Below are 22,751 nucleotides of genomic sequence, written 5' to 3' on the forward strand. Positions count from 1 at the left end.
CTGTTACAGACTCACCTTTCCATTTGGACTGGCCTTCTTGAACACTCTGTGGAGAGAAAGAGAGGTCAGGCCAGGGTTCGCGTATCCTGCCCAGGGGCAAGCTCCTGCGGGCCACCTTGAGGCAGGACTGGGGACCAGGGCTGGAGTGACTGACAGGCACCATGCAGGCTTGAGATCCGAACAGTGCCCATGTAATCCGCTCTTACCATCTCCACTGGTAAGCCTCCACGATAGCCATTAGAGCTCTCCTGGGCTACGCAACAGCCGCCTTGCAGTCAGGTCTTTGCAGGGCAGGCTGCGGGAGTCTCCAAGTGCAAGTTTTCTGAGCTCAAGTGAGGAAAAGCCTGGCATGCTGTAAGGTCTGTGTGATCTACCCTCACCTCCCGGTGTCACCTCCTACTACTCTCCCTCACCCATCTCCAGCCACATCTACCCCCGGCTGGTCCTCAAGCACACCAGGGCGATTCCCACCTCGGGGACAGTTCTCTTCTGGGAGGCTCTCCCCGAGACATCTGCATGCTCAGCCCCACTGTGCCTCCGGGGCCTGAAGTCCCTCTCTTGCTCTACTTCTTCTTTTTCCATAGCACTCATCACTCTCTTTTTTGAGACAAGGTTTCACTCTGTCACTCAGGCTGGAGTGCAGTGGCGTGATCTCAGCTCACTGCTTCAATCTCTGCCTCCTGGGCTCAAACGATCCTCCTGCTCAGCCTCTCAAGTCACTGGGACCACAGGCACACGCCACCACCCTGGGCTAATTTTTATTTTTTGTTTTCTTGTTTTGTTTTGTTTTTTGTTAGAAATGGGGTTTCACCAAATTGCTCAGCTGCTCTCAGACTCCTGGACTCAAGCGATCTGCCCACCTCGACTTCCCAAAGTGCTGAGATTACAGGCGTGAGCCACCACGCCCAACCAACACTTACCACTTTCGAATGTACACATATTTTGCTTGTTTATTATGTGTCTACTCTGCTAATATGTCACTCCACGAGGGCAGGGATCTTTGTCTCTCTTATCCACAGATGCATCTATCCCAAGCACCCAGAACAGCACTGCAATCATTGTTTAATAAATGATGGGACCAGGAACGGTGGCTCATGCCTGTAATCCCAGCATTTTGGGAGGCCGAGGAGGTCAGGAGTTCAAGACCAGCCTAACTAATGTGGTGAAACCCCATCTCTACTAAAAATGCAAAAATTAGCTGGGCATGGTGGTGGGTGCTTGTAATCCCAGCTACTTGGGAGGCTGAGGTAGAATTGCCTGAACCCAGAAGACGGAGCTTGCAGTGAGCCAAGATCACGCCACTGCACTCCAGCCTGGGCGACAGAGCAAGACTCAGTCTCAAAAACAAACAAACAAAAAATGATGAATGGCAGGTAGCAAACACTCAATAAACATTAGTTGAACAGGTGAATGAATGAATGAATGAGTGAAGGAATCAACTGCCTTACTTCACAGAAACTGAAGCCCAGGAAAGGCAGAGAATAAGCCATGGTCACCCAGCTGGATAAGGAATCAGGTTGAGATGTAGTCCATGACTCCCAAAAAGTGGAACTCACTTGCCTTCCGTATCTCCTCCTGCCCTCTCCCCCGAGCTGGGTCTTGGAGCCTGAGACCCCCTTCCCTAGCTGCCAACAGGTAGCTCCAGGATCTCTCAAAGTAATTGTTGGGAGGGAGAGAAGAAAATTGAAAGATAGAGACAGAGACCGCGAGATAAGAGAGGGGGTTGGGGAAGAGAGGGGAGGATAGGGACACAGGCCCTGGACGGGCGAAAATAAAAGATGGAATAAGAGAGGCTAAAACAGCCATGGACAGAGGAGTAGGGCAGGAACACATGAGGCTGAGAGGGCTTCCTGCCACCCAGTCCTCCCCCAGGAGCACAGGGTCCAGTAGGCACCAGGGTGGGCAGGACAGTGAGGCCCGCCATGGCACATGGACAGCCACTCCTGCCTCCTTCCAGAAGAGAAGGCGAGTGGGTGGTGGCTCTGCGCTGCATTGATGGCCCTGGCCCTGCCCACCCTCACCTCTCACTTCTGGGCTGGCAGGAACCACTGATGAGTGTGAGCATGGCTTACTAAGAAGCCTGGCACATCCCGCCCCACCTCCCCTGGGAGCCCTGGGCTTTTCTCCTGCTCATAAATATTTATTTATTTATTTATATTTTTTTGAGATGGAGTCTCGCTCTGTTGCCCAGGCTGGAGTGCAGTGGCGTGATCTCAGCTCACTGCAACCTCCATCCCCCAGGTTCAAGCGATTCTTGTGCCTCAGCCTCCCCTGTAGCTAGGATTACAGGCATGCACCACCAGGCCAGGCTAATTTTTGTATTTTTAGTAGAGATGGGGTTTCTCCATGTTGGCCAGGCTGGTCTCAAACTCCTGACCTCAAGTGATCCTCCCACCTCCAGCCTCCCAAAGTGCTGGGATTACAGGCGTGAGCCACCGCGTCCAGCTTCCTTCTCATAAATATTTATTAGTGTTCAGAGTGTGAAGATGCCACAGTCAGCTGGGGTGTGATAATTGCTAAAGTGAGGAAAAATACAGATCACAAGGTTTGAAGCAGCAGCTCCCAAGCTGGGGCTGGACGTGCAGAGAAGACCAGAGAAGTGGCACCGGCCACAAGGGACTCCACCTGCTTCCAGAAGCCTCGGGAGCCCATGGTCTGAAGGAAAGGAGAGGCCACAGGTGCCTGAGGCCACAAACAACTGAGTCAGGGAAAACCATTCCAGGGACTGCTGGAAGGAGCGAGACACCCTGGTCAGGCTGGAAGAGGCAACTTAAGAAGGGAGGGAGGGAAGACAGAACTTTGTTGAGTGGCTAATTATTTCTCATAATAGCTCTGTGAAATGGGGATTATCATCCTCATTTTACAGGTAATTAGCTCAAGGCTCAGAGAGACGCAGTAATTTCCCCAAGAACACACAGCAAGCCAGGGGCTCGGTCAGGATTCAGACCCAATTCTATCTGCTTGCCTCCAGAAGCTGGGTGCTTCATATCCAACCCGGCTGTTTTCCTAAACCGGGTGTTTTCATCAACATCGGGAATAACAATAAAGAGGAGAAATGAGGAGAGGAGAGGGGCAAGGGGCACAGTGAGGGTGGCCAGGGTAGGAAGTGTGGCCAGCAGTGGGGAATGACCTGCTGCTAACCTTGTCAGCACCAGGACCACCTCCTTCAGGAAGCAGGACTCTGATGGCTTCCTCAAACAACAGCAGCAGCCACCACATTCCCCAAGAGCATGCCATGCTCTAGACATGACTTTAGGTATTTTTCCTAGAACACTGCTGATCCTTACAATACCATTTCAGAGATGAGGAAATTGAGTCTCACCAAGGTGAAGCATGGTCTGCCTGTCTCCCGAGCCCATGTCCTTTCCACTCTGTGACACTGCCAAGCCCTCTGTGATAAAACTCCTCTGACTTCCTGACCCTAACACTATCAGAAAAGAGGCCCCTGTGAGGATGCTTCGTTTCCTGGGACCTCCACCTATGCAGCGTCACACAGATGGCTCTGCCTGTCAACTTTGAAGAGCAAGCACACACGTCCAAGACTGGTCAAAGCCAAATTTCCAGGATGCCAGAGGCAGGGTCTGCCTCATCCCCAGCCCCATCTATGCCCCACAGCCTGATTCACAGAGCTGGGTGCCTATAAGAGAAATACCAGCAGTGTTCCAGCTGATTAAGGCTCAGTGGAGACAAGGAACAGAACCAGCCCCCACCACACCCAACCCCACCGCCCAGGGTAGCTCAAGAAAAGGGGGAGGGCATGTTATAAGAAGGCAAAATTCTCACGGGATGCAGGCAGGATGCATGGGGGCTGGCGCAGGATCTGGGAAGCCATCTGAATCTCAGGCAGTCTCACTCTCTCTGCACCTCTCCTCCCGGGGCTTCATTTTCCCCCGGTTGCACTGCTTTCTGGGCGGCTGCCCCATTGCCTCTGTGGACCAGCTATCTCTACTTACTCAAGGCTTTTCTCCTCCTCCATCCTTTTGGCTTGGATGTGACTCCCACTCTGACACTGTTTCCACTCTGATTCTCACTCAGCTTCCCACTGCTAACTGGTTGAATGGCCCACTTCCAAATTCCCAGTAGAGGAATTTGATTGGTCAGCACTGGTCATGTGTTCTACACCTGGGCCAATCAGCTATACCTAGGTGTGTCACACATCTAGGTCTGTCATGTAGTCAAGGAGGCCCGGGCAGAAGAGGGTCTGTAGAGTAATGTTTTCCAAACAGGGGGTCACAACATACTAGTTGATAATAAAACCAACTTATGGCTGGGCATGGTGGTTCATGCCTGTAATCCCAGCACTTTGGGATCATGCCTGTAATCCCAGCCGAGGTGGGAGGATCACTTGAGGTCAGGAGTTCAAGACCAGCCTGGTCAACATGGTGAAACCCAGTCTCTACTAAAAATACAAAAATTAGCCGGACATGGTGGCATGCACCTGTAATCCCAGCTATTCGGGAGGCTGAGGCAGAAGAATCGCTTCAACCAGGGAGGCGGAAGTTGCAGTGAGCTGAGATCATGTGACTTCACTCCAGCCTGGGCAACAGAGCAAGACTCCGTCTCAAAAATAAATAAATAAATAAATAAATAAATAAATAAATAAATAAATAAATAACTTAAAATATTTTTTTAATGAAATGGAATGGAATAGACTAGAAAATATAAGCATGCACTGCAGGTAGCAAGGTATAATAGACATTACTATATTCACCAAAATTCAGTTTCCTTCTAAGCCTGGGGGTATGGGAGTATCAGATTTCTCTGGTCCTATGAAGTTAGGCATGTCCATGTGGCTTGCTCTGGCCAGTGAAATATGAGTAGAAGTGCCAGATGTCAGTGCCAGGTAGATTTAAGTGCTGGTGCTTGATTCCCCATGCCCTCTGTATTCATTTTCTATGGCTGCTGTAACAAATTACCACACACTTAGTGGCCTAAACCAACACAAACAGGCCAGGTGTGGTGGCTCATGCCTGTAATCCCAGCACTTTGGGAGGCCGACATGGGAGGATCACTTGAGTTCAGGAATTCAAGACCAATGTGGGCAACATGGTGAAACCCCATCTCTACAAAAATACAAAAATTAGCCAGGCACAGTGGTGTGTGCCTGTAGTACCAGCTACTCGAACGCTGAGATGGGAGGATCACTTGAACCTAGGAGGTGGAGGTTGCAGTGAGTCAAGATTGTGCCACTGCACTTGAGCCTGGGTGACAGAGTGAAACCCTGTCTCAAAAAAAAAAAAAAAAAAAAAAAAACACACACACCCAACATATTATCTTATAGTTTGGTAGTTCAGAAACACTAAATGGGCCTCACTGGACTAAAATCAAGGTACCCACAGGGCTGCATTCATTTCTGGAGGCTCAAGGGATGAATCTGTTTCCCAGCCCTTCCCAGCTTCTAGGGGCTGCCCACATTCCTTGGCTCATGGCCCCTGCTTCTATCTTCAAAGGCAGCAAGAGCAGGTTCAGTTCTTATCACATTGCCTCACTTTGACCTCCTCTTCTGCCTCTCTCTTCCATTTATAAAGACCCCTGGGACTATGTTGAACCCATCTGGATAATCCAGAACAATCTCCCTATTTTAAGGTCAGTTAATTAGCAACCTTAACTCCATCTGCAACCGTCATTACCCTCTGCCATGTGACATATCCTATTCACAGGTTCCAAGGATTATGATGTAGACATCTTTGGGAAGAGCATTCTTTGGCCTGCCATGCTCTCTTTCCTTTGCCACTGAAACCAGCAATGATCTGGATGAGAAAGCCTCCATCAACCTAAATCCCAGGGCTGTCCCACTACATGACAGATGTGTAGCATAAGGGAGAATGAAAGCTCTTGAGCCACTAAGATTTGGGGGTTCTTACCGGCCACAGGCTAGCTTCTCCTGGCTGATACAAAAAGTGAGTATTGGCTGGGCACAGTGGCTCATGCCTGTAATCCCAACACTTTGGGAGGCTGAGGCGGGCGGATCACTTGAGGCCAGGAGTTTGAGACCAGCCCGGTGAACACAGTGAAACCTTGTCTCTACTAAAAATACAAAAAATTAGCCAGGTGTGGTGGCACATGCCTGTAATCCCAGCTACTCAGGAGGCTGAGGCATGAGAATTACTTGAACCCGGGAGGCAGAGGTTACAGTAAGCTGAGATCGCACCACTGCACTCTAGCCTGGGCGACAGAGTAAGACTTTGTCTCAAAAAAAAAAAAAAAAAAAAAAGAGTATTATTTAGCAAAATGTTTGTTTCAGGTGAATGTGTGTGTACTGAATTACAATGTAAAATGAATTTCATGCTGCAAATTTAAAAATGTTTCAGATCCGCTGTTCTAGAAAAACATGCCTAAACCAAACATGCCCTATCCGTGTCTGTGCAGACTGCTGGATGCTGTCTTCTGATTCCATTCCATCAAGGTGGTGCCGCCAGGAAGACAGGTAGGTCAACTCTCCATGAACCAGAATGTCAGTTTCTCCAGTGAGCCTCATTCCCCACCTGCAGCATAGGGTACCTGTGGACCAACTTTGACACTAATATTTCACTGCTCTTCTGTGAGCCATCAGTCCTCCCAGTGTCCCTTTGTGCCTGTCAGGGAGAGGGCTACACAACAAGGAACCCAAATGAAGTACCTTCCAAGACTGATTACACCAAAACAAGATTTTCTAATTCTATATGATCAGCTAAACAAGGAATTTTTTTTCCTTTTTTTTTTGAGATGGAGTCTCACTCTGTCACCCAGGCTGGAGTACAGCGGCACCAGCGAGGCTCACTGCAACCTCCATCTCCCAGGCTCAAGCGATTCTCCTGCCTCAGCCTCCCAAGTAGCTGGGATTACTGGTGCATGCCACCATGCCCAGCTAATTTTTTGTATTTTAGTAGAGATGGGGTTTCACCATGTTGTCCAGGGTGGTCTCGAACTTCTAAGCTCTGCCTCCCAGAGTGCTGGGATTACAGGTGTGAGCCACTGTGCCCAGCCAACAATGGAATATTATACAGCACTGAAATTAGGTTTCCATCTTTGATAACACAAGGAAATGCCTATCATAGAATATTAAGCAGAGTAAGTCAGGAATCAGAATAGTACGTTTGGCATGAGCTGAACTTTACACTCAATAAATACCCAAAAGAAATAAATGAGAAGACTTGATGTTAAGATGCCTACGCTCCCCTAATTGATTCAATGTAATCTTTATCAAATCGTAGCTAGCTTTTTTGCAGAAACTGAGAAGCTCATCCTAAAATTCATAAGGAAATGCCAGGGATCCAGAATAGCCAAACTATCTTGAAAAAAAAAAAAAATAGAACCAAGTTAGAAGACTCACACTTCCCATTTTCAAAACTTACCACAAAGCTACAGTAATCAAGACTATATTGTGCTGGCATAAAAACAGACATATAGATCAATGGGATATAATTGAGAGTCTAGAAATGAACTCATATATTTATGGTCAATAGATTTTTTTACAAAGGAGCCAAGGCAAGTCAATGGGGAAAGAACATTGTTTTCAACAAATGATGCTAGGACAACTGGATAGTCGCACAAAAAAAAACAAAGTTAGATCCCGACCTCACATCACGTACAAAAATTAACTCAAATGGGGCCGGGCGCTGTGTCTCACATCTGTAATCCCAGCACTTTGGGAGGCTGAGGCGGGCAGATCACCTGAGGTCAGGAGTCCGAGACCAGCCTGGCCAACATGGTGAAACCCTGCCTCTACTAAAAATACAAACATTAGCCAGGTGTGGTGGCAGGCACCTGTAATCCCAGCTACTTGGGAGGCTGAGGCAGGAGAATCGCTTGAACCCAGGAGGCGGAGGTTGCAGTGAGCTGAGATCATGCCACTGCACTCCAGCCTGGGTAAGAGAGCAAGACTTTGTCTCAAAAAAAAAAAAAAAAAAAAAAAAAAAATTAAATGGACCAAAGACCTAAATGTAAAAGCTGCAGCTATAAAACTCTTAGCAGAAAACGTTAAGTGTAAGTCTTCATGACCTTGGGTTAAGCAATGGTTTCTTAGATATGACACCAAAAGCACAAGCAACTGAAGAAAAAATAGACAAAATTTTAAAACTTTTGTGCTTCAAAAGTCACTGTCAAGAAAGAGAATATTGGGGGGTGGGGGCTGGGGGAGGGATAGCATTAGGAGAAATATCTAATGTAAATGACGAGTTGATGGGTGCAGCAAACCAACATGGCACATGTATACATATGTAACAAACCTGCACGTTGTGCACATGTACCCTAGAACTTAAAGTATAATTAAAAAAAAAAAAAAAAGAAACCCACTGAATGGAGCAAATATTTTCAAATCATTTATCTGATCAGGTCCTAATAGCCAGGATATATAAAGAACTATTACAACTCAACAACAAACAGGTGAATCACCCATTTTTAAATGGGCAATGGATTTGTTTGAATAGGCATTTGTCCAAAGAAGATATTCAAGTGGCCACTAAACACATGAAAAGATGTTCAGCATCATCAGTCATCAGTCAAAACTACAATGATACACTTCACACCCATTAAGATGGCTATACTCAAAAGGAAGGATAATAAGTGTGGACAGGAGTGTGGAGAAACTGGAAACTTCATACATCGCTGGTGGGAATGGAAAGTGGGGCCGTCACTTTGAAAAACAGTTTGGCAGTTCCTTTAAAAGTTAAACCGAGAGTTAACATATGACCCAGTAAGTCCCCTCCTGGGTATACACCCAAAGTAACTGAAAATGTCCACACAAAAAACTTATGCATAAATGTTTGTAGCAGCATTATTCAAAATAGCCAAAAAGAGTGAAAAAAAAAATCTATCAATGAATACATGTATTTTTTTAAAATTCAGTCTATACATACAATGGAATAGTACATAGGCATAAAATGGGATGAAGTACTGATTCATGCTACAACATAATGAACCTTGAAAACATTATGTTAAGTAAATTAACATAATGTTAATTATGTTAATTTAACATAATTAACATAATTCTGTTAACAGAAGGCTGCATATTATATGATTCCACTTGCATTAAATGTTCAGAGTAGGCAAATTGATAGAGACAGAAGGTAAATTAGTGGTTGCCAAGGGTTGATGGGAGTGGGAAATGGGGAGTGACTGCTAATTGGTACAGAGTTCTTTGGGAGGTGATGAAAATGTTCTGGAATTGGATAGTGGTGATGGTTATACAAACTTGTGAATATATACAAAAACCACTGAATTTTACCCTAAAAGTGTGAATATTATGGTATATTACATCTCAATTAAAAAAAAAAACAACTAAAAAAAGACAGAGAGAATGAAAAAAAGGAAATGTGCCTAAATACTGACAGGAGTTGAAGAAGACTCCGCCCACCCACACGCTTCTTTATACCTATAATTTTTCTGTTATACAATGAGCATAAAGTACTTTATAAAGATGCTTGGATTTCCCTAACAAGATATGTCTCAAGTCTTGGAGAAAGGAGAATCTAGGAAAAAAAAAAAAAAGTAAGTGAAGTAGGGAAAATCTGGACCCTAAACTCTGAATGCTTTGATGTAAGAGTCTCTGGTTCTGTGATTTTACAATCCAGGATCCATGTTTCTGTGAATCCTGAGATCCCTCCCCAGGCCTAATGTATCGTATACTCAGCTATCCTTTTTCCAGGAAGCCTTCCCTGACTACCCTCTAAGTCTGGGTTAGGAGCCCCTCAGCTCCACATCCAGTGTGTCCCCATTCATAGCACTTACCATACTTTGTAATGGTCTGATAACACCCTCTGCTTCACTTTTATAGCAACAATGAAAGTAGAGATATTATTTGTGTTATATTCACTGTATTTCTGGGGCATAGCATGGTACCTAGGATATAGTAGGTGCTCAATAAATAAATATAGGATGACTATGGTTAAATGAATGCCCTAAGAGAATTATTCAAGTATGAGGATGGATGAAGTTTAAAAAGATGGTGGTAGGACAGGCGCAGTGGCTGACGCCTGTAATCCCAGCACTTTAGGAGGCCGAGGGGGGCAGATCACGAGGTCAGGAGTTTGAGACCAGCCTGGCCAACATGGTGAAACCCTGTCTCTACTAAAAATACAAAAATTAGCCGGGTGTGGTGGCACGTGCCTGTAATCCCAACTACTCAGGAGGCTGAGGCAGGAGAAACACTGAACCCAGGAGGCGAGGTTGCAGTGAGCTGAGATTGCACCACTGCACTCCAGCCTGGGCAACACAGTGAGACTCTGTCTCAAAAAAAAAAAAAAAAAAAAGAAAGAAAGAAAGAAAAGAAAGCTTATCCAGGTTATCCAGGAGAGAAACCAGGTCCAGTTACTGCTGTAAGTGAGTTACAAATATTAACTCACTTATTTCTCCAACAACTCTATAATAAGTGTTACTATCATCCCATTTCACAGATGAGAAAACTGAGGCACAGGGAGGTTAAGTAATTTGCCTAGGGTCACACAGCAAGTAAGCAACAGAGCTAGATATCAGAGCCCAGATACTCCAGCTCCAGAGACCACACTTTTAATCACTCACAATACTGCCTGAGAGGTGGGATTATGTGGTTCTGTCTGGGGAGTCAAAAAAGCCTTCAGGGCTGGCCGCTGTGGTTCACACCTTTAATCCCAGCACTTTGGGAGGCCGAGGTGGGCGGATCATGTGGTCAAGAGATTGAGACCATCCTGGCCAATATGGTGAAACCCCATCTCGACTAAAAATACAAAAATTAGGGCCGGGCGCGGTGGCTCACGCCTGTAATCCCAGCACTTTGGGAGGCCGAGGCGGGCGGATCACGAGGTCAGGAGATCGAGACCATCCTGGCTAACACAGTGAAACCCCGTCTCTACTAAAAAACACAAAAAAATTAGCCGGGCGTGGTGGCGGGCGCCTGTAGTCCCAGCTGCGCGGGAGGCTGAGGCAGGAGAATGGCGTGAACCCGGGAGGCGGAGCTTGCAGTGAGCCGAGATCGCGCCACTGCACTCCAGCCTGGGCGACAGAGCGAGACTCCGTCTCAAAAAAAAAAAAAAAAAAATACAAAAATTAGCTAGGCATGGTCGTGGGCGCCTGTAGTCCCAGCTACTCTGGAGGCTGAGACAGGAGAATCGCTTGAACCCAGGAGGAGGAAGTGGCAGTGAGCCAATATCATGCCACTGCACTCCAGCCTGGCAACAGAGCGAGACTCCATCTCAAAAAAAAAAAAAAAGCCTTCAAGGGAGGAGGTAGCAATGAGGAAGATCTTGAAGGACACACAAGGTGCAGAAGGTGACCACACTGCAGGCAGAGGCCTGGAGAGGGCAACTGAATCCACCAGGTGCTCAGGAGACAGCGAGCCTCTGGTGTGGCTGGAGTGTGCCCCAAGTGCCTGGGAGGAGCCCCAGGGGAAGAGGCTGGGCTGGAGAATGGTCCGTTTGCTCCACAGAGAATCACGGAGCACCTCTATGTGAGGGCCTTCGGCTAGGAGGGTAGGGCTGTGAAGGGCCTTGAGTGCCGGGCTAAGGAACTTGGACCTTATCCAGAAGGCAATAGGGAGCCATGCACATTTGAGGGGAGGGAGAATGACTGGCCAGGGCCATATTTTGGACCCAGAGATGCCCTCAATCCCATACGTTCCCCCATCCCTGTCCAATAGCAGCCATGGCTCAGCTGGGTAGGGTGGGGAGACGCAAGGGGGCATTCACTCAGACGCAGCCACCCTACATTCTGACCCACTTTCCTCAGTGTGAGAGCAGCCATCAGGGAGCAGGGAGGTGCGGGGAGCAGGTGGCAGCGGCTGCAGAGAGGTTCCTAGGCCCTTATCGCATTCTCCCTGGTAGCAGAGTTATTTGTGTACCGGCTCGTCTGCTCTGCCAGAATTTCCCAGCCCTCCCTGTGTCAGAGTGTGGCCCTTCTGTTTACCCACCATCAGTGCACCTGCTTCTCAGGACAGCCCAGGAGGGGGAAGGAGGCAGGAAGGCAAGAAATGTCACCCCATTTCAGAGATTTCCGGAGCCTGAGGGAGCACAGTCCCACCTGCTTCATTTCCCAGAGGGAGAAATCAAAGCCCGAGTGAGAGAAGAGTCTCACACCAGGGCCAGGAAGCTTGGGCTCAGGGAGACTCGCTAGTGTGCCCAGAGTCAGACTGGGATGGGGACCGCCGGCTTCTGTGGTTCCCGTCTCCTGTCACATCCCTGCTCAAATCTGCCATAGCTCCCAGGGCACAGGGCAGTGCCTGGCAGGCCAGAGGGGTCAGGGGTGGTGGCTGGGGAGTGAGGGGTTCTGGCCAAGTCAGACTCCTGGGCTGCAGACTTCCCACAGACTTCTAGGCCGACAGCAATTCCCCAAGCCTCCTGCCGCATTCACGGGTTCACTTCTTTGGCCATGAAGCATATTTTTGAAAATTCTCAGGTGGTGCAGAGTGAGGAAAGAGGGGGCCATGGACAGAGGGGAGAGTTTCTTAAAAGAGCTTGGCTTATTTTCTGTTAACCCATGAAGCTGGAGATCTGAAAATCAAGGGCTAATCAAAATTTCCCCAGGCGGGCTGGCAGCTGGATACCAAAGAGCCCACAGACTGCGCCTGAGCGCTGCCCAGCCTTCCTGGGGCTGAGATGCAGGAAGAGAAGGTTGCTGGCAGCCAAAAGGGCCCAGAGGCTGAAGCAGACAGTCCCTGCCTGAGTCTCTGCTTGAGCCCAGTGTGACCTCAGGCCCATTTCCTATCCTCTGGAAGGCTCAGCTTCCTTCGCCTAGAGAATGGGGATAATATCCACCCCATAGGCTGGGGATAGGTGTAAAAACTTGATCCCCAGTAGTGACTCAACACAGGGAAGCTGACATTGTGCTATGATACTATGAAATTGTCATCATCATTATCCTGGCCAGTGTCCTGCCCCCACCCCCTGCTCAGGGAGAGTTCTCCCCCAAGTGTCCCTCAGGTGAGAAAGCCTTGCGGGTGGGAGGAGATGGTCATGTTACTCCTGCTGGGACAGGGAAATGTTTAAACTGTCTGTCTCCCTACAGTCTTGGGTAGAAAACACAATTTATGATGTTTTTCCCCCAGATTATTATTATCATTATTATTATTATTATTTGGAGATGGAGTCTCGCTCTGTCACCCAGGCTGGAGTGGAGTGGCATGATCTTGGCTCACTGCAACCTCCGCCTCCTGGGCTCAAGCAATTCTCCTGCCTCAGCCTCCAGAGTAGCTGGGATTACAGGTGCACACCACCACACCCGGCTAATTATTGTGTTTTTAGTAGAGACAGGGTTTCACCATGTTGGCCAGGCTGGTCTCAAACTCCTGACCTCAAGTGATCCGCCCATCTCAGCCTCCCAAAGTGTTGGGATTACAGGTGTGAGCCACTGTGCCCCACTTTTTCCCAGTGTAGACATCCACATTCCAGAAATTTCCAGGTGCGTGCCCTGCTCTTCCCTCTTCCTGTACTATCCTTTGCATCAGTTCTACCAACTGCAGCCCCTTCCCATCCTTCACACAGTCCCAGCGTCACCTCACCCAAGAAGCCCTCCTTGACTGCCTTGGCTTAAAGTGCTCTTGCCCTGACTCCTCTGCCCTTGCTCCCTCCTTTGCTTCCTTCCATTCGTCTTTCTTATTTCCCTCCTTTCTTTTCTTCCCTTTATTTTTCAAATCTCTGGGCCTGGGGCTGTTTTTACCTGCAGAAGGTACAGGCCCCGGTGTCGGTGTTGTTTCCCCAGAGCACCTACAGGGCAGCGGAAGGCAGACACTCAGTGAACAAGCAAGCCCTCCCTCAAAAGCACAGTGGGAGGGTGGGAGGAGGTGCATGTGTGATGTGCCCAGTTCCGTTCCAGGCACCACCAGGCACCCAGCACACATGTGCATCTTTCCCTCCCTCTCCTGCTGGCCCCTGAGCATCCAAACAGGGCCTGCACATGGCTGCTCCTGAGTGGATGCCACGGAACTGAAATGATGGCAAACCCCAGGGAACAGAAACTGCGACTTCAGTCACTTATGTTCCTTGGTACATAGTAGGTGCTTAATAAAGATTTTGAATGAATAAACAAGAGCCAAGCCCTGAGCTTGAGGCTGGGAAAAAATAGGACCTGGGCCAAGAAGCGGCAGCCTTGCCATCTGGATGAGCACCATGGATGCGCAGTCTTGGCGGGAACCCATTAGCTATAGGGCACTCCTGACACAAGACAGGCCATTATTTTCCCAGCGGAAAGATTTTATTTAAAGGGGGTTTTTGTTTGGTTTGTTTGTTTTGCCAATTTCAACATGCAAACTTTTAAGGATATAGAATAACATATGTTAAAATAAGATATTAATTCAAAAACATCATTAATTTCTTCCTATTCTCACATTTCATAAAATGTCACAACAGATCCACTATGGCAGCATATCTCTGACTCTGTGTCCACTGCTCTGTGGATCAGTCAGTAAGCCGAGAGGGTTCTCTGTGGTCAGGGACTCCATACAGACTGAAATCTAAGGCCTAAGGTGCCAGCTTTTTCCAGGGAAATAGTTGTGGGGGAAAAAAACTGCCTTATATTTATCTGGATGGGGTGCCCACGGTGTGCTGAGCTGGCTTGTACAGGCTCATAAGAGCCAAGTGTCACATTTTTAAGAATTTTGTGAGGTAGTTGTTAAACACAGCCAGTACCGTTGGTTCTCAGCCGGGGGCGAATTTGCACCCCAGGGGACACCTGGCAATGTCTGGAGACATTGTGGGCTGTCATGATTTGGGGAAGAGGTGCTACTAACATCTAGTAGGTAGAGGCCAAGGATGCTGCCTGCATAATGCACATGTCAGTCCCCCCAAACCCCCCGCAAAGGATCTCCAGACCAAAATGTTATGGTGCTGATGCTGAGAAACCCTGCTTGGAGCAGTGGCTCATGCCTGCAATCCCAGCACTCTGGGAGGCTGAAGTGGGAGGATCGCTTGAACCCAGGAGTTTGAGACCAGGCTGGGCAACAACCTGTCTTTAAAAAGAGAGAGGAAAAAAAAAAGTTTAAAAAAAAGAAAAATAGAAATCCTAATGTGAACTTACAATTAAATAAACTCTATTAAAAGCAAAGGGAATGCATTTTCTTTTCTTTTCTTTTCTTTCTTTCTTTTTTTTTTTTTTTTTTTTTTGAGACAAGAGTCTTGCTCTGTTGCCCAGGCTAGAATGTGGAATGCAGTGACATGATCTCGGCTCACTGCAACCTCCACCTCCTGGGTTCATGCAATTCTCGTGACTCAGCCTCCCAAGTAGCTGGGATTACAGGTAATGTGCCACCACGCCCACCCAGCTAATTTTTGTATTTTTTTTTTTTTTGGTAGAGACGGAGTTTCACCATGTTGGCCAGGCTGGTCTTGAACTCCTGACCTCAAGTGATCCTCCAGCTTCTGCCTCCCAGAGTGCTGGAATTACAGGCATAAGAAACCATGCCTGGCCCAGGAATGCATTTTCAAAACTGATTACATACTAATTATTTTACTGTTGTTACTATCATACCCTCAAGGGTATTTATGCCTACTATACCTGTATGGTGGAAATGCTATACAATGGTGTCTACTGTTCATCTCTTCCCAACTGCACATTCAGTGACTTCACACTGGTAGAGTGAAATCTGAAGTCAGAGTATTTACATCACAGAAATTGGCAGATGCTAAAATCCCCCACCCTTCTTTTTTTCTGGAGGGCCAGTTGTTACCAGCACACTGTTGGGTGTAACCCTAAGTAGAGAAGATAAATTCACAAGCTTGATGAATCCTTCCCAGTTTCCAGCCTAGGCAGACGACTCAGCACCAGCCTGCTGTATGGATCAAGGATCTGAATGTGGTCGTGTGCACGCACTCTACACACCATGCACAGAAAGACATACACAAATACTAAACAGTAACACACCTGCATCACACTCCACACACACATCTTGTCTACAAACCCCCACATATACAACATGCACACAGCATATAACCGACTAAACATGCACCCCACAGTAGCCCTTCAGTCAGCAGGGGAATAATTTGAATAATGACAAACACAAGCAAAAGAATGACAACCTGACTGACCAAATTCCTTGATATCTGAGCACCTTCACCTTTACTCCCTCCTCATCCTCTGTGATCCACCCTTCCCCGCACACCCCGACACCACACTGCAAAGGCAAAGGTCTCAACCCTCACAAGAAGCACCAAACCCACTGACCCCATTTCAGTCCCGCTGGAGGCCCTGGCCACCTGACTCCCCATCCCTGCTCTGTGCCCAGCTCTCAGGAGACTCCAGAGCTGAGTCTGACCTTGGCCCCTTCCCAGAGCCCATGAAAAGGAGTTCCCTGGGCAACTCCACCCACCTGACCACTTCAGCTGCCACCGATGCCAGTAAGTCCAAACCTCGTCTCCAGCCAGACCCTCTCTGACCCCCACCCATCAGCCTTCAGACATTTCTACTCGATGTCCCCCAACTCCTTAGACAAGTCCCAAACAGCCTTCCCCCATCTCCACCCCGCACTGTTCCTCCCTGTGTTCTCCATCCCCACCTATGCCAGAGGCTGGTGCGCAGGAAGCACTCAATGCACATCTCATGGAGAGAGGAAGAAATCATGTAAATCCCAGAAAGAGAGGAAAAGCAAACTTCCTGGTGAGTCAGATAGAAAGTCTTACCCCATTTTACAGATGAGAGCCCAAAGATTCAGTGGAGTGAAGAGGCCAGCCCAGAAGCAGCGCCAAAGCAGTGGACTGTGAGGTGGAGGGAGCCTGAGCTGGGGGCTGCAGGCAGCAGCAGCCAGGCCAGGGCCAGCCCCGCAGGCTCAGCTCTCCCCAGCCCCAAGTGAGGGGTTAGTTACAAAGAAAAGGAAAAGGCGTTCCTGATACGCGTCCTGTTTCCTCTCCTCCTCCGGGCTTCTCGGGCCATGGAGGGCGGATGTCCCTGGGCTGGCAGCACTCTGCCTGTACACAGACGGGCAGGGGGTGAGGGTCTCCCCAAGGATGGTGACGGTCTCCCTAGACCACTTTCCATTCCAGCAGTCCAGCCTGCATGGAGACAGGGGCTCACCAGAGTGACCCCTCAAGTTTCCCTTCCAGCCTGGGGGAGCCCTTACCCCTTATCCCCAGTGGGTACTTGTCACAGCCAGGCACCTCCTGTCCATCAGAGGATCCCATACAGACACCTTCACCAGGAAGGCTTCTATGTCACCCTCACTTGCTGCAGAGGGCCTTCTTGCAGTCTCCTGTAAGGAGTCTCCTGTCTTCCCTTCCTCCCTGCCCCACAGCAGCCAAGTTTATAAGTGCCCATCTCCGTCCGTAGCTGCTGCCTGTGGGACCTGAGCTCCCCATGAATCAGGGAGCGGAAGGGGTCAAAGTGAAGGGGTCAAAGGTGAAGGCCATAAATGGGGTTTCTTGAGTGAGAGGACAAGATGAGCCTCCATCAGACAGGGGTCCTTCCTGAGGACAGAGGTCAGGGCTCCTCTCTCAAATAGGGAATCTCTCTGAGGGAAGTGGCCATGGATCCCCCATCAGATTGGAGGCTCCTGCAGGATGGAGGCCATGCTTCATTCCTCAGGCACACAGCTCCTACAGAACAAGAGGACTGTGTCCCCTCTGTTACACAGAGAGTCCCAGGAAACAGAAGTCATGGTGCCCCATCAGACAGGAGTGTCCTGGAGGACAGGGCCATGCCTCCTCCATCACACCAGGAGCTCCCAGAGGGCACGATCCCCATCTGCTCCCTCTCCCCAGAAGCTCCCAGGACAGACTTCAGCTCAGTCTAACACACGGGGAAGGTCTTCCCTCTGGAGCAGAACTGACAGGGAGTCTTGCTCACACCCTCCCCTGCCCAGGGTCCCACTCCAACTCCCCATTTATGCTCTCCATTGAACTGAAGCCACCATGCCATATTTATGTCAGCTGTGTGTCTGGGCAGAGGCCAGCAACCTCTGGAGAGATGGCAGGGGGCAACAGGGGGATCCCTGACAAGAGGATCCCAGGACAGGCCATGGCTCCAGCTCTGGCTGGATGTGACCCAGATGGGTATCCACACCTGGCTCTGCCAGTAACTGAGCAAGCCTCTTCCCCCGTGGCCATGGATAGCACCATCCCCATCATCAAACTTTATCAGCACCCACTCCTGGCTAAAGTGGAATAAAGCATCAGGGACAGGGGATAGCAGGCCCTTCCTTAGTCCCACTGTGAGGACAACACTGGCCCTCCCTGGGTGCCAGCCCTGAGCCCGGCCCAAGCAACTTCCACAGTCATCTTTCCTACTCACGGCAGCTCCAGGGAACTGCTATTAGTTAGCATCGATCCACAAAGTACTTTGCCGACACTTTATGAGCTCAGTCTCACCAGAGGCCCCAGGGGCCATAAGCAAGAGGCAGAAACCAAGGCCCAGGAGCTCAGGCCACTGAGTAGAGCCAGGGAGTCGCTGAGCCAGCATTTGAAACCAGGCCCCATGACCAAGGCCCAAGCGAGCCCAGAGACAGCACTAAGTAAATGTTTACTGAATGCCTGTTCACTGAAAAGCAATCTGACTGGATTTTGGTAACAATCTGGGCATATTTTCTTATTAAGAAATTTGGCCTGGCACAGTAGCTCACGCCTATAATCCCAGCACTTTGGGAAGCCAAGGCGGGTGGATCACGAGGTCAGGAATTCAAGACCAGCCTGGCCAACATGGTGAAACCCTGTCTCTACTAAAAATAAAAAAAATTAGCTGGGTGTGATGGCACACACCTATAATGCCAGCTATTCGGGAGGCTGAGGCAGGAGAATTGCTTGAACCTGGGAGACGGAGGTTGCAGTGAGCCAAGATAGCACCACTGCACTCCAGCCTTGGCGACAGAGTGAGAATCCATCTCAAAAAAAAAAAAATAGCCCTACAGTAATATTTTTTTCTGGAGAAAGGGTCTCACTATATTGCCCTAGCTGGTCTTGATCTCCTGGGCGCAAGTGAGCCTCCCACCTCGGCGTCCTGAGTAGCTGCAATTACAGGTACATGCCATCATGCCCAGTGATTATTTTAAGACATACCATTTGTTAATTTGTCATGTGCTAGGTACTTTAAATATTTATGTTTAATCTCAAGGATAACTCAAGGAGAAAAAGCCAGTATCCTCATTTTACAGAATTGGAAACTGGAGGCTAGGGAGGGGAAGAGAAAAGTTACCCAGTTCAGGGGAGGCAACGCCCGCCTGGCGGCCCCAAAGCCCCTGCTCCTTTTCTGGCCCACACAGCTCCCTGTGCTCTCAGAAGGTGGCCTGGGGAGGCCAGAGGCCCACAAATGGGCGCAGCCAGCATCAAAGTGCTCAGGCAGCCTGCCTGGTGGGCCTGACCCCACATTGCAGGGATCCCTGGAGGAGAGGGCCCAAGCCCTGCTCCCTCAGGGAGCTTTGCCAGGCCTCTCTGAGGGCACCTATTTCACACCCCTGCCTTGGTGGGAATCATTCATTTGAGAACTTGCCCCCCAGGATGGGAGCTCCTCCAGGGCAAGGCCTGTGCTTGGCACAGAGAAGGTGCATCATAAAGGAGTTAAGGGCACAGGCTTAGGGTCAGGCAGGCCTGTAGCCTCATCACCCTGCAACGCAGCCGTCTTGAGTGAAATGAGGCCCTGGCACAGAGTTGGAGCTCTGTGAATGGTGAGAATACTAACCCCTACCACAGCAAGCGGACCCACTGGTGGCCTTGGGCAGGTCCTTGTCCATCTTGGCTTCAGCTGGCTTACGTGCTGTCACTGGGGGTCACATTACCTCACAGGAGGCTAGGTAGGTGGGAGGAAATAATGGGTATATGAGGAGTCCTGGGGAGACCAGAGTGCTGAGCAGAGACAAAGGCCTGATATTAGGACAAGGCTGAATTATTGAGCATTTTAAATAAATGCATTTCCATTACTTCCAAGAATACACAGGCCTTGCAGATAAGGTGGGCACAGCAAAGCCAACCAAGAGCAGCTGTGCCTCAGTGAGGCAGGGAGCAGGGGAGGAGCATTCTAGAGCATCTCCAGACCATTCCCCAGACATACACTGGGACTTGGTAATATGCAACCCCCAAACCTTCCACTTGCTCCTCAAAACAGTTCCCTTTTATGGCTTCAGGAGGGGTAGTAAGAAGCCCGCAGGAGGAACGGTGCTGGCCCTCTTAGCCACCAACCTATCTGGAGTGACCTTCCCAGAACCAGCTCTGCCTGCCACAACCTAGAAGCTCAAGCCATCTGATCCCAAACCTCGGGGAGAACTGCGCAAATGGAAATCGATGTGGGGAGCAATGGGGAATGGGGTCTCGCTCTCTCCCCTGGTATTTAATGGCTATGTTTGGACATGGCATCTTACCTTTCCTGTCCTCACCTGGATAATAGGGCAACACAGCCTGCTCCAGGGTGTTGAGGGGGATGAAAGGCCAACGTCTGTATGCGCCTGGCATGTAACCTGGGTTCAACATAGGTAGGTGAGTGCACTGAGAGGCACTGGGAACACCAAGGGGAACAAGGCCATCCAGGGCCCTGCCTCTGTGGGGCTTAAAGTCTAGCAGGGGGGAAAAGGTATAAGGAATCGCATGTAAGAACACCTGCAGGAAGCGGAGGAGCCTTTGGTCACCATGCTACATTGTTTCCAACATTTATTTTATACTCTCTGTGTATCCAACCGGCACCAGGCAGTGGGACACAGGCTTCCCACGGGGTTTGGAGTGTGGTGGATGAGCTTACGGAATGTGCTTCCTTAAGACCTAGATGGCCTTTCCTTCAGCACCTTCCTTTGGCTCACATTTCACCCTCATGAGGAAACCTCATGAGCAACTCAGCCCCTGTGCTGTCTGATTATCAGCAGGAGGCAGTGGGCATGGGCATTCATGCCACAGAGAGAGAAGGACCTGAATGATTTGGTTGCCTGCTTTTAGCTCAGGTTCATGTGAATCTGATTGAGTCAGTCATGTGGTCTGCTCAATTCTAAGGGCTGGACTGACATGTGGCAACTTTGTACAGGCCAGACCCCAGGAGGCCGGCTCCCCAATTGCCTTTGCCACACTGCCTCTGTCCCACCACAACCACAGTGACCTTAAGGAGCAGAAGGGTCTGTTACAAATGTACTGCCCACATAGGGTAGGGGAGACAGATGTCCAAACCAATACCCAGCCTACCAAAGGCACCCTATGAGAGGGTTATAAAGAGACCACAGGGCCAGGCGCGGTGGCTCATGCCTGTAATCCCAGCACTTTGAAAGATCAAGGCAGGCAGATCATCTGAGGTCAGGAATTCGAGACCAGCCTGACCAACATGGTGAAACCCCGTCTCTACTAAAAATACAAAATTAGCCTGGCGTGGTGGCACATGCCTGTAATCCCAGCTACTTGGGAAGCTGGGGCAGGAGAATCACTTGAACCCGGGAGGCACAGGTTGCAGTGAGCTGAGATGGTGCCGTTGCACTCCAGCCTGGGCAACAAGAGTGAAACTCTGTCTCAAGAAAATATAAAAATTAAAAAAATTAAGAGGCCACAGCAATTCCGAGAAAGGAGCAGCTCCATTCTTTCTGGGATGGGCAGGGGGCTGTTGAGAAAGTTGCAGAGAGCAGGTGACATCTGAGCTGGACTTGAAGCACAATGAAGAGTTTGTCAGATTGTCAAATTGCAGAAGAGAACGTTAAAGGAACAGGCTATGCATGGAATGCACATCCTTACATAGCAGACTGCACATTTCAAAAATCAGTTCAAAATCACAATCTCGTTTCACCCTCTCAAATCCCATAATGGTGTTATTAACTGCCTCTCCCACGGCCCTCCACCTGCCACACACAGGCAAACAAAAAAAGTAAGGTCCAGTGAAGGCAGATGGTGAGCCCCAGGGCAAACAAACGGTGACTGATTTCTGAGTAGAGGGAAGTGAGGGGTGGACTCTGGCTGAAATGGTCCTCTTCTCACTGAAGTGGGGGATTCCTGAATTCCTGTCCGGCGGCAGCACCCCACTTCGGCCCCTGCTGGCCTGTGACACCCTCCTCTCATCCCCAGCATACACACACACTCCTCCGGCCACCAGGGCCTGTCAGAAGGGGCTGGCTGAGAGGGGACGGCCGGCAGAGGAACCAAGCAGCAGGGCCTGGGCCGAGGGGCTGGGAAAAAGCTGACCGTTCTCGAAGGCCCAGATCGGAGGCCCTGCCCAGCCTCTTCCCCTCCTCTAAGTGCTGATCACCTCAGCCTCTCCCGCTGCAAGTCTCCTTCCATGGCCTCTCCTCTCCCATCTCTTGCAGTGGCTGCTGCTGGCCTCTCCCTTCTCCTTCCTCCACCCTCGCCCTCCCCGGGGAGTGGTGAGCTCAGCCTTTCCCAGCAGCCGTCCCTAGGAATGATGGGAAATGCACCGCCAGGAACTGAGAACAGGCCTGCCCCTGGGAAGGAGTGGGAGAAGAGGCGTCAGGGACAGGGCTCAAGTCTGCCACTTCCTAGGACCCCTGACCGCCGAAGGGACAGTCTGCCTGTGTGTACTGCACGCTGGAAGGACATGGGCTCAGACTGTGTGGACTGCCAGGGACCTTGTCTTACAGATGGGGAGACAAAGGCCCCAGGAGAGGAGAAAGGGGACTGACTGCCTGTCCCAGGCATTGGGAGCCTTTCATTGTCTCATGTCATCCTCACAACTGCTCTGCAAGGTGTGTGTGGTAGGCTGAGTAACAGCCCCCCGAGATGCCCACATCCTAATCACCAGAGCTGTGGCTGTGTTGGGTCATGTGGTAGAAGAGATTCTGCAGATGTGATTTTGTTCAGGGCCTTGAGATGGAGAGATTATCCTGCATGACCTGGGTGGGCCCAATGTCATCACAAGGGTCCTGACAAGAGGGAGGCAGGAGGGTCAGAGAGAGTAAAGGCAATGGGGTGATG

The 22,751-nt window shown here is 49.7% G+C and overlaps 1 protein-coding gene across 9 annotated transcripts in view, besides 3 other annotated features; it reads right to left on the minus strand.

Moving 5' to 3' along the window:
- The window catches only part of ARRB1 (arrestin beta 1), a 91,540-nt gene that overhangs the window by 29,872 nt on the left and 38,917 nt on the right, over positions 1-22,751 (minus strand). For 4 of the 9 annotated variants that reach the window (XM_011545035.2, XM_017017751.1, XM_011545034.2 and 1 more), the window contains exons 1-3: positions 22,069-22,115; positions 20,234-20,314; positions 16-46 (exon numbers count right to left, since the gene is read on the minus strand). In XM_011545035.2, the coding sequence (XP_011543337.1) occupies positions 16-46; positions 20,234-20,314; positions 22,069-22,100 (144 nt within the window). In that variant the 5' untranslated portion in view covers positions 22,101-22,115. Of the gene's footprint in view, positions 1-15; positions 47-16,559; positions 16,708-20,233; positions 20,315-22,068; positions 22,116-22,751 lie in introns of those variants that run through there. The other 5 variants (NM_020251.4, XM_017017754.3, NM_004041.5 and 2 more) reach the window with 2 other exon arrangements.
- Positions 1,531-2,031: an enhancer, noted in NCBI's record as "H3K4me1 hESC enhancer chr11:75002568-75003068 (GRCh37/hg19 assembly coordinates)". NCBI's record gives its function as "activates a minimal SCP1, AML or CMV promoter by ChIP-STARR-seq in naive H9 embryonic stem cells {active_cell/tissue: H9 hESC(naive)}" and the evidence as "EXISTENCE:reporter gene assay evidence [ECO:0000049][PMID:30033119]".
- Positions 13,492-14,306: an enhancer, noted in NCBI's record as "H3K27ac-H3K4me1 hESC enhancer chr11:75014529-75015343 (GRCh37/hg19 assembly coordinates)". NCBI's record gives its function as "activates a minimal SCP1, AML or CMV promoter by ChIP-STARR-seq in primed H9 embryonic stem cells {active_cell/tissue: H9 hESC(primed)}" and the evidence as "EXISTENCE:reporter gene assay evidence [ECO:0000049][PMID:30033119]".
- Positions 18,836-19,337: an enhancer, noted in NCBI's record as "H3K4me1 hESC enhancer chr11:75019873-75020374 (GRCh37/hg19 assembly coordinates)". NCBI's record gives its function as "activates a minimal SCP1, AML or CMV promoter by ChIP-STARR-seq in primed H9 embryonic stem cells {active_cell/tissue: H9 hESC(primed)}" and the evidence as "EXISTENCE:reporter gene assay evidence [ECO:0000049][PMID:30033119]".

This window comes from Homo sapiens, chromosome 11 (genome assembly GCF_000001405.40).
Source record: "Homo sapiens chromosome 11, GRCh38.p14 Primary Assembly".
NCBI classification, from domain to species: Eukaryota; Metazoa; Chordata; class Mammalia; order Primates; family Hominidae; genus Homo; species Homo sapiens.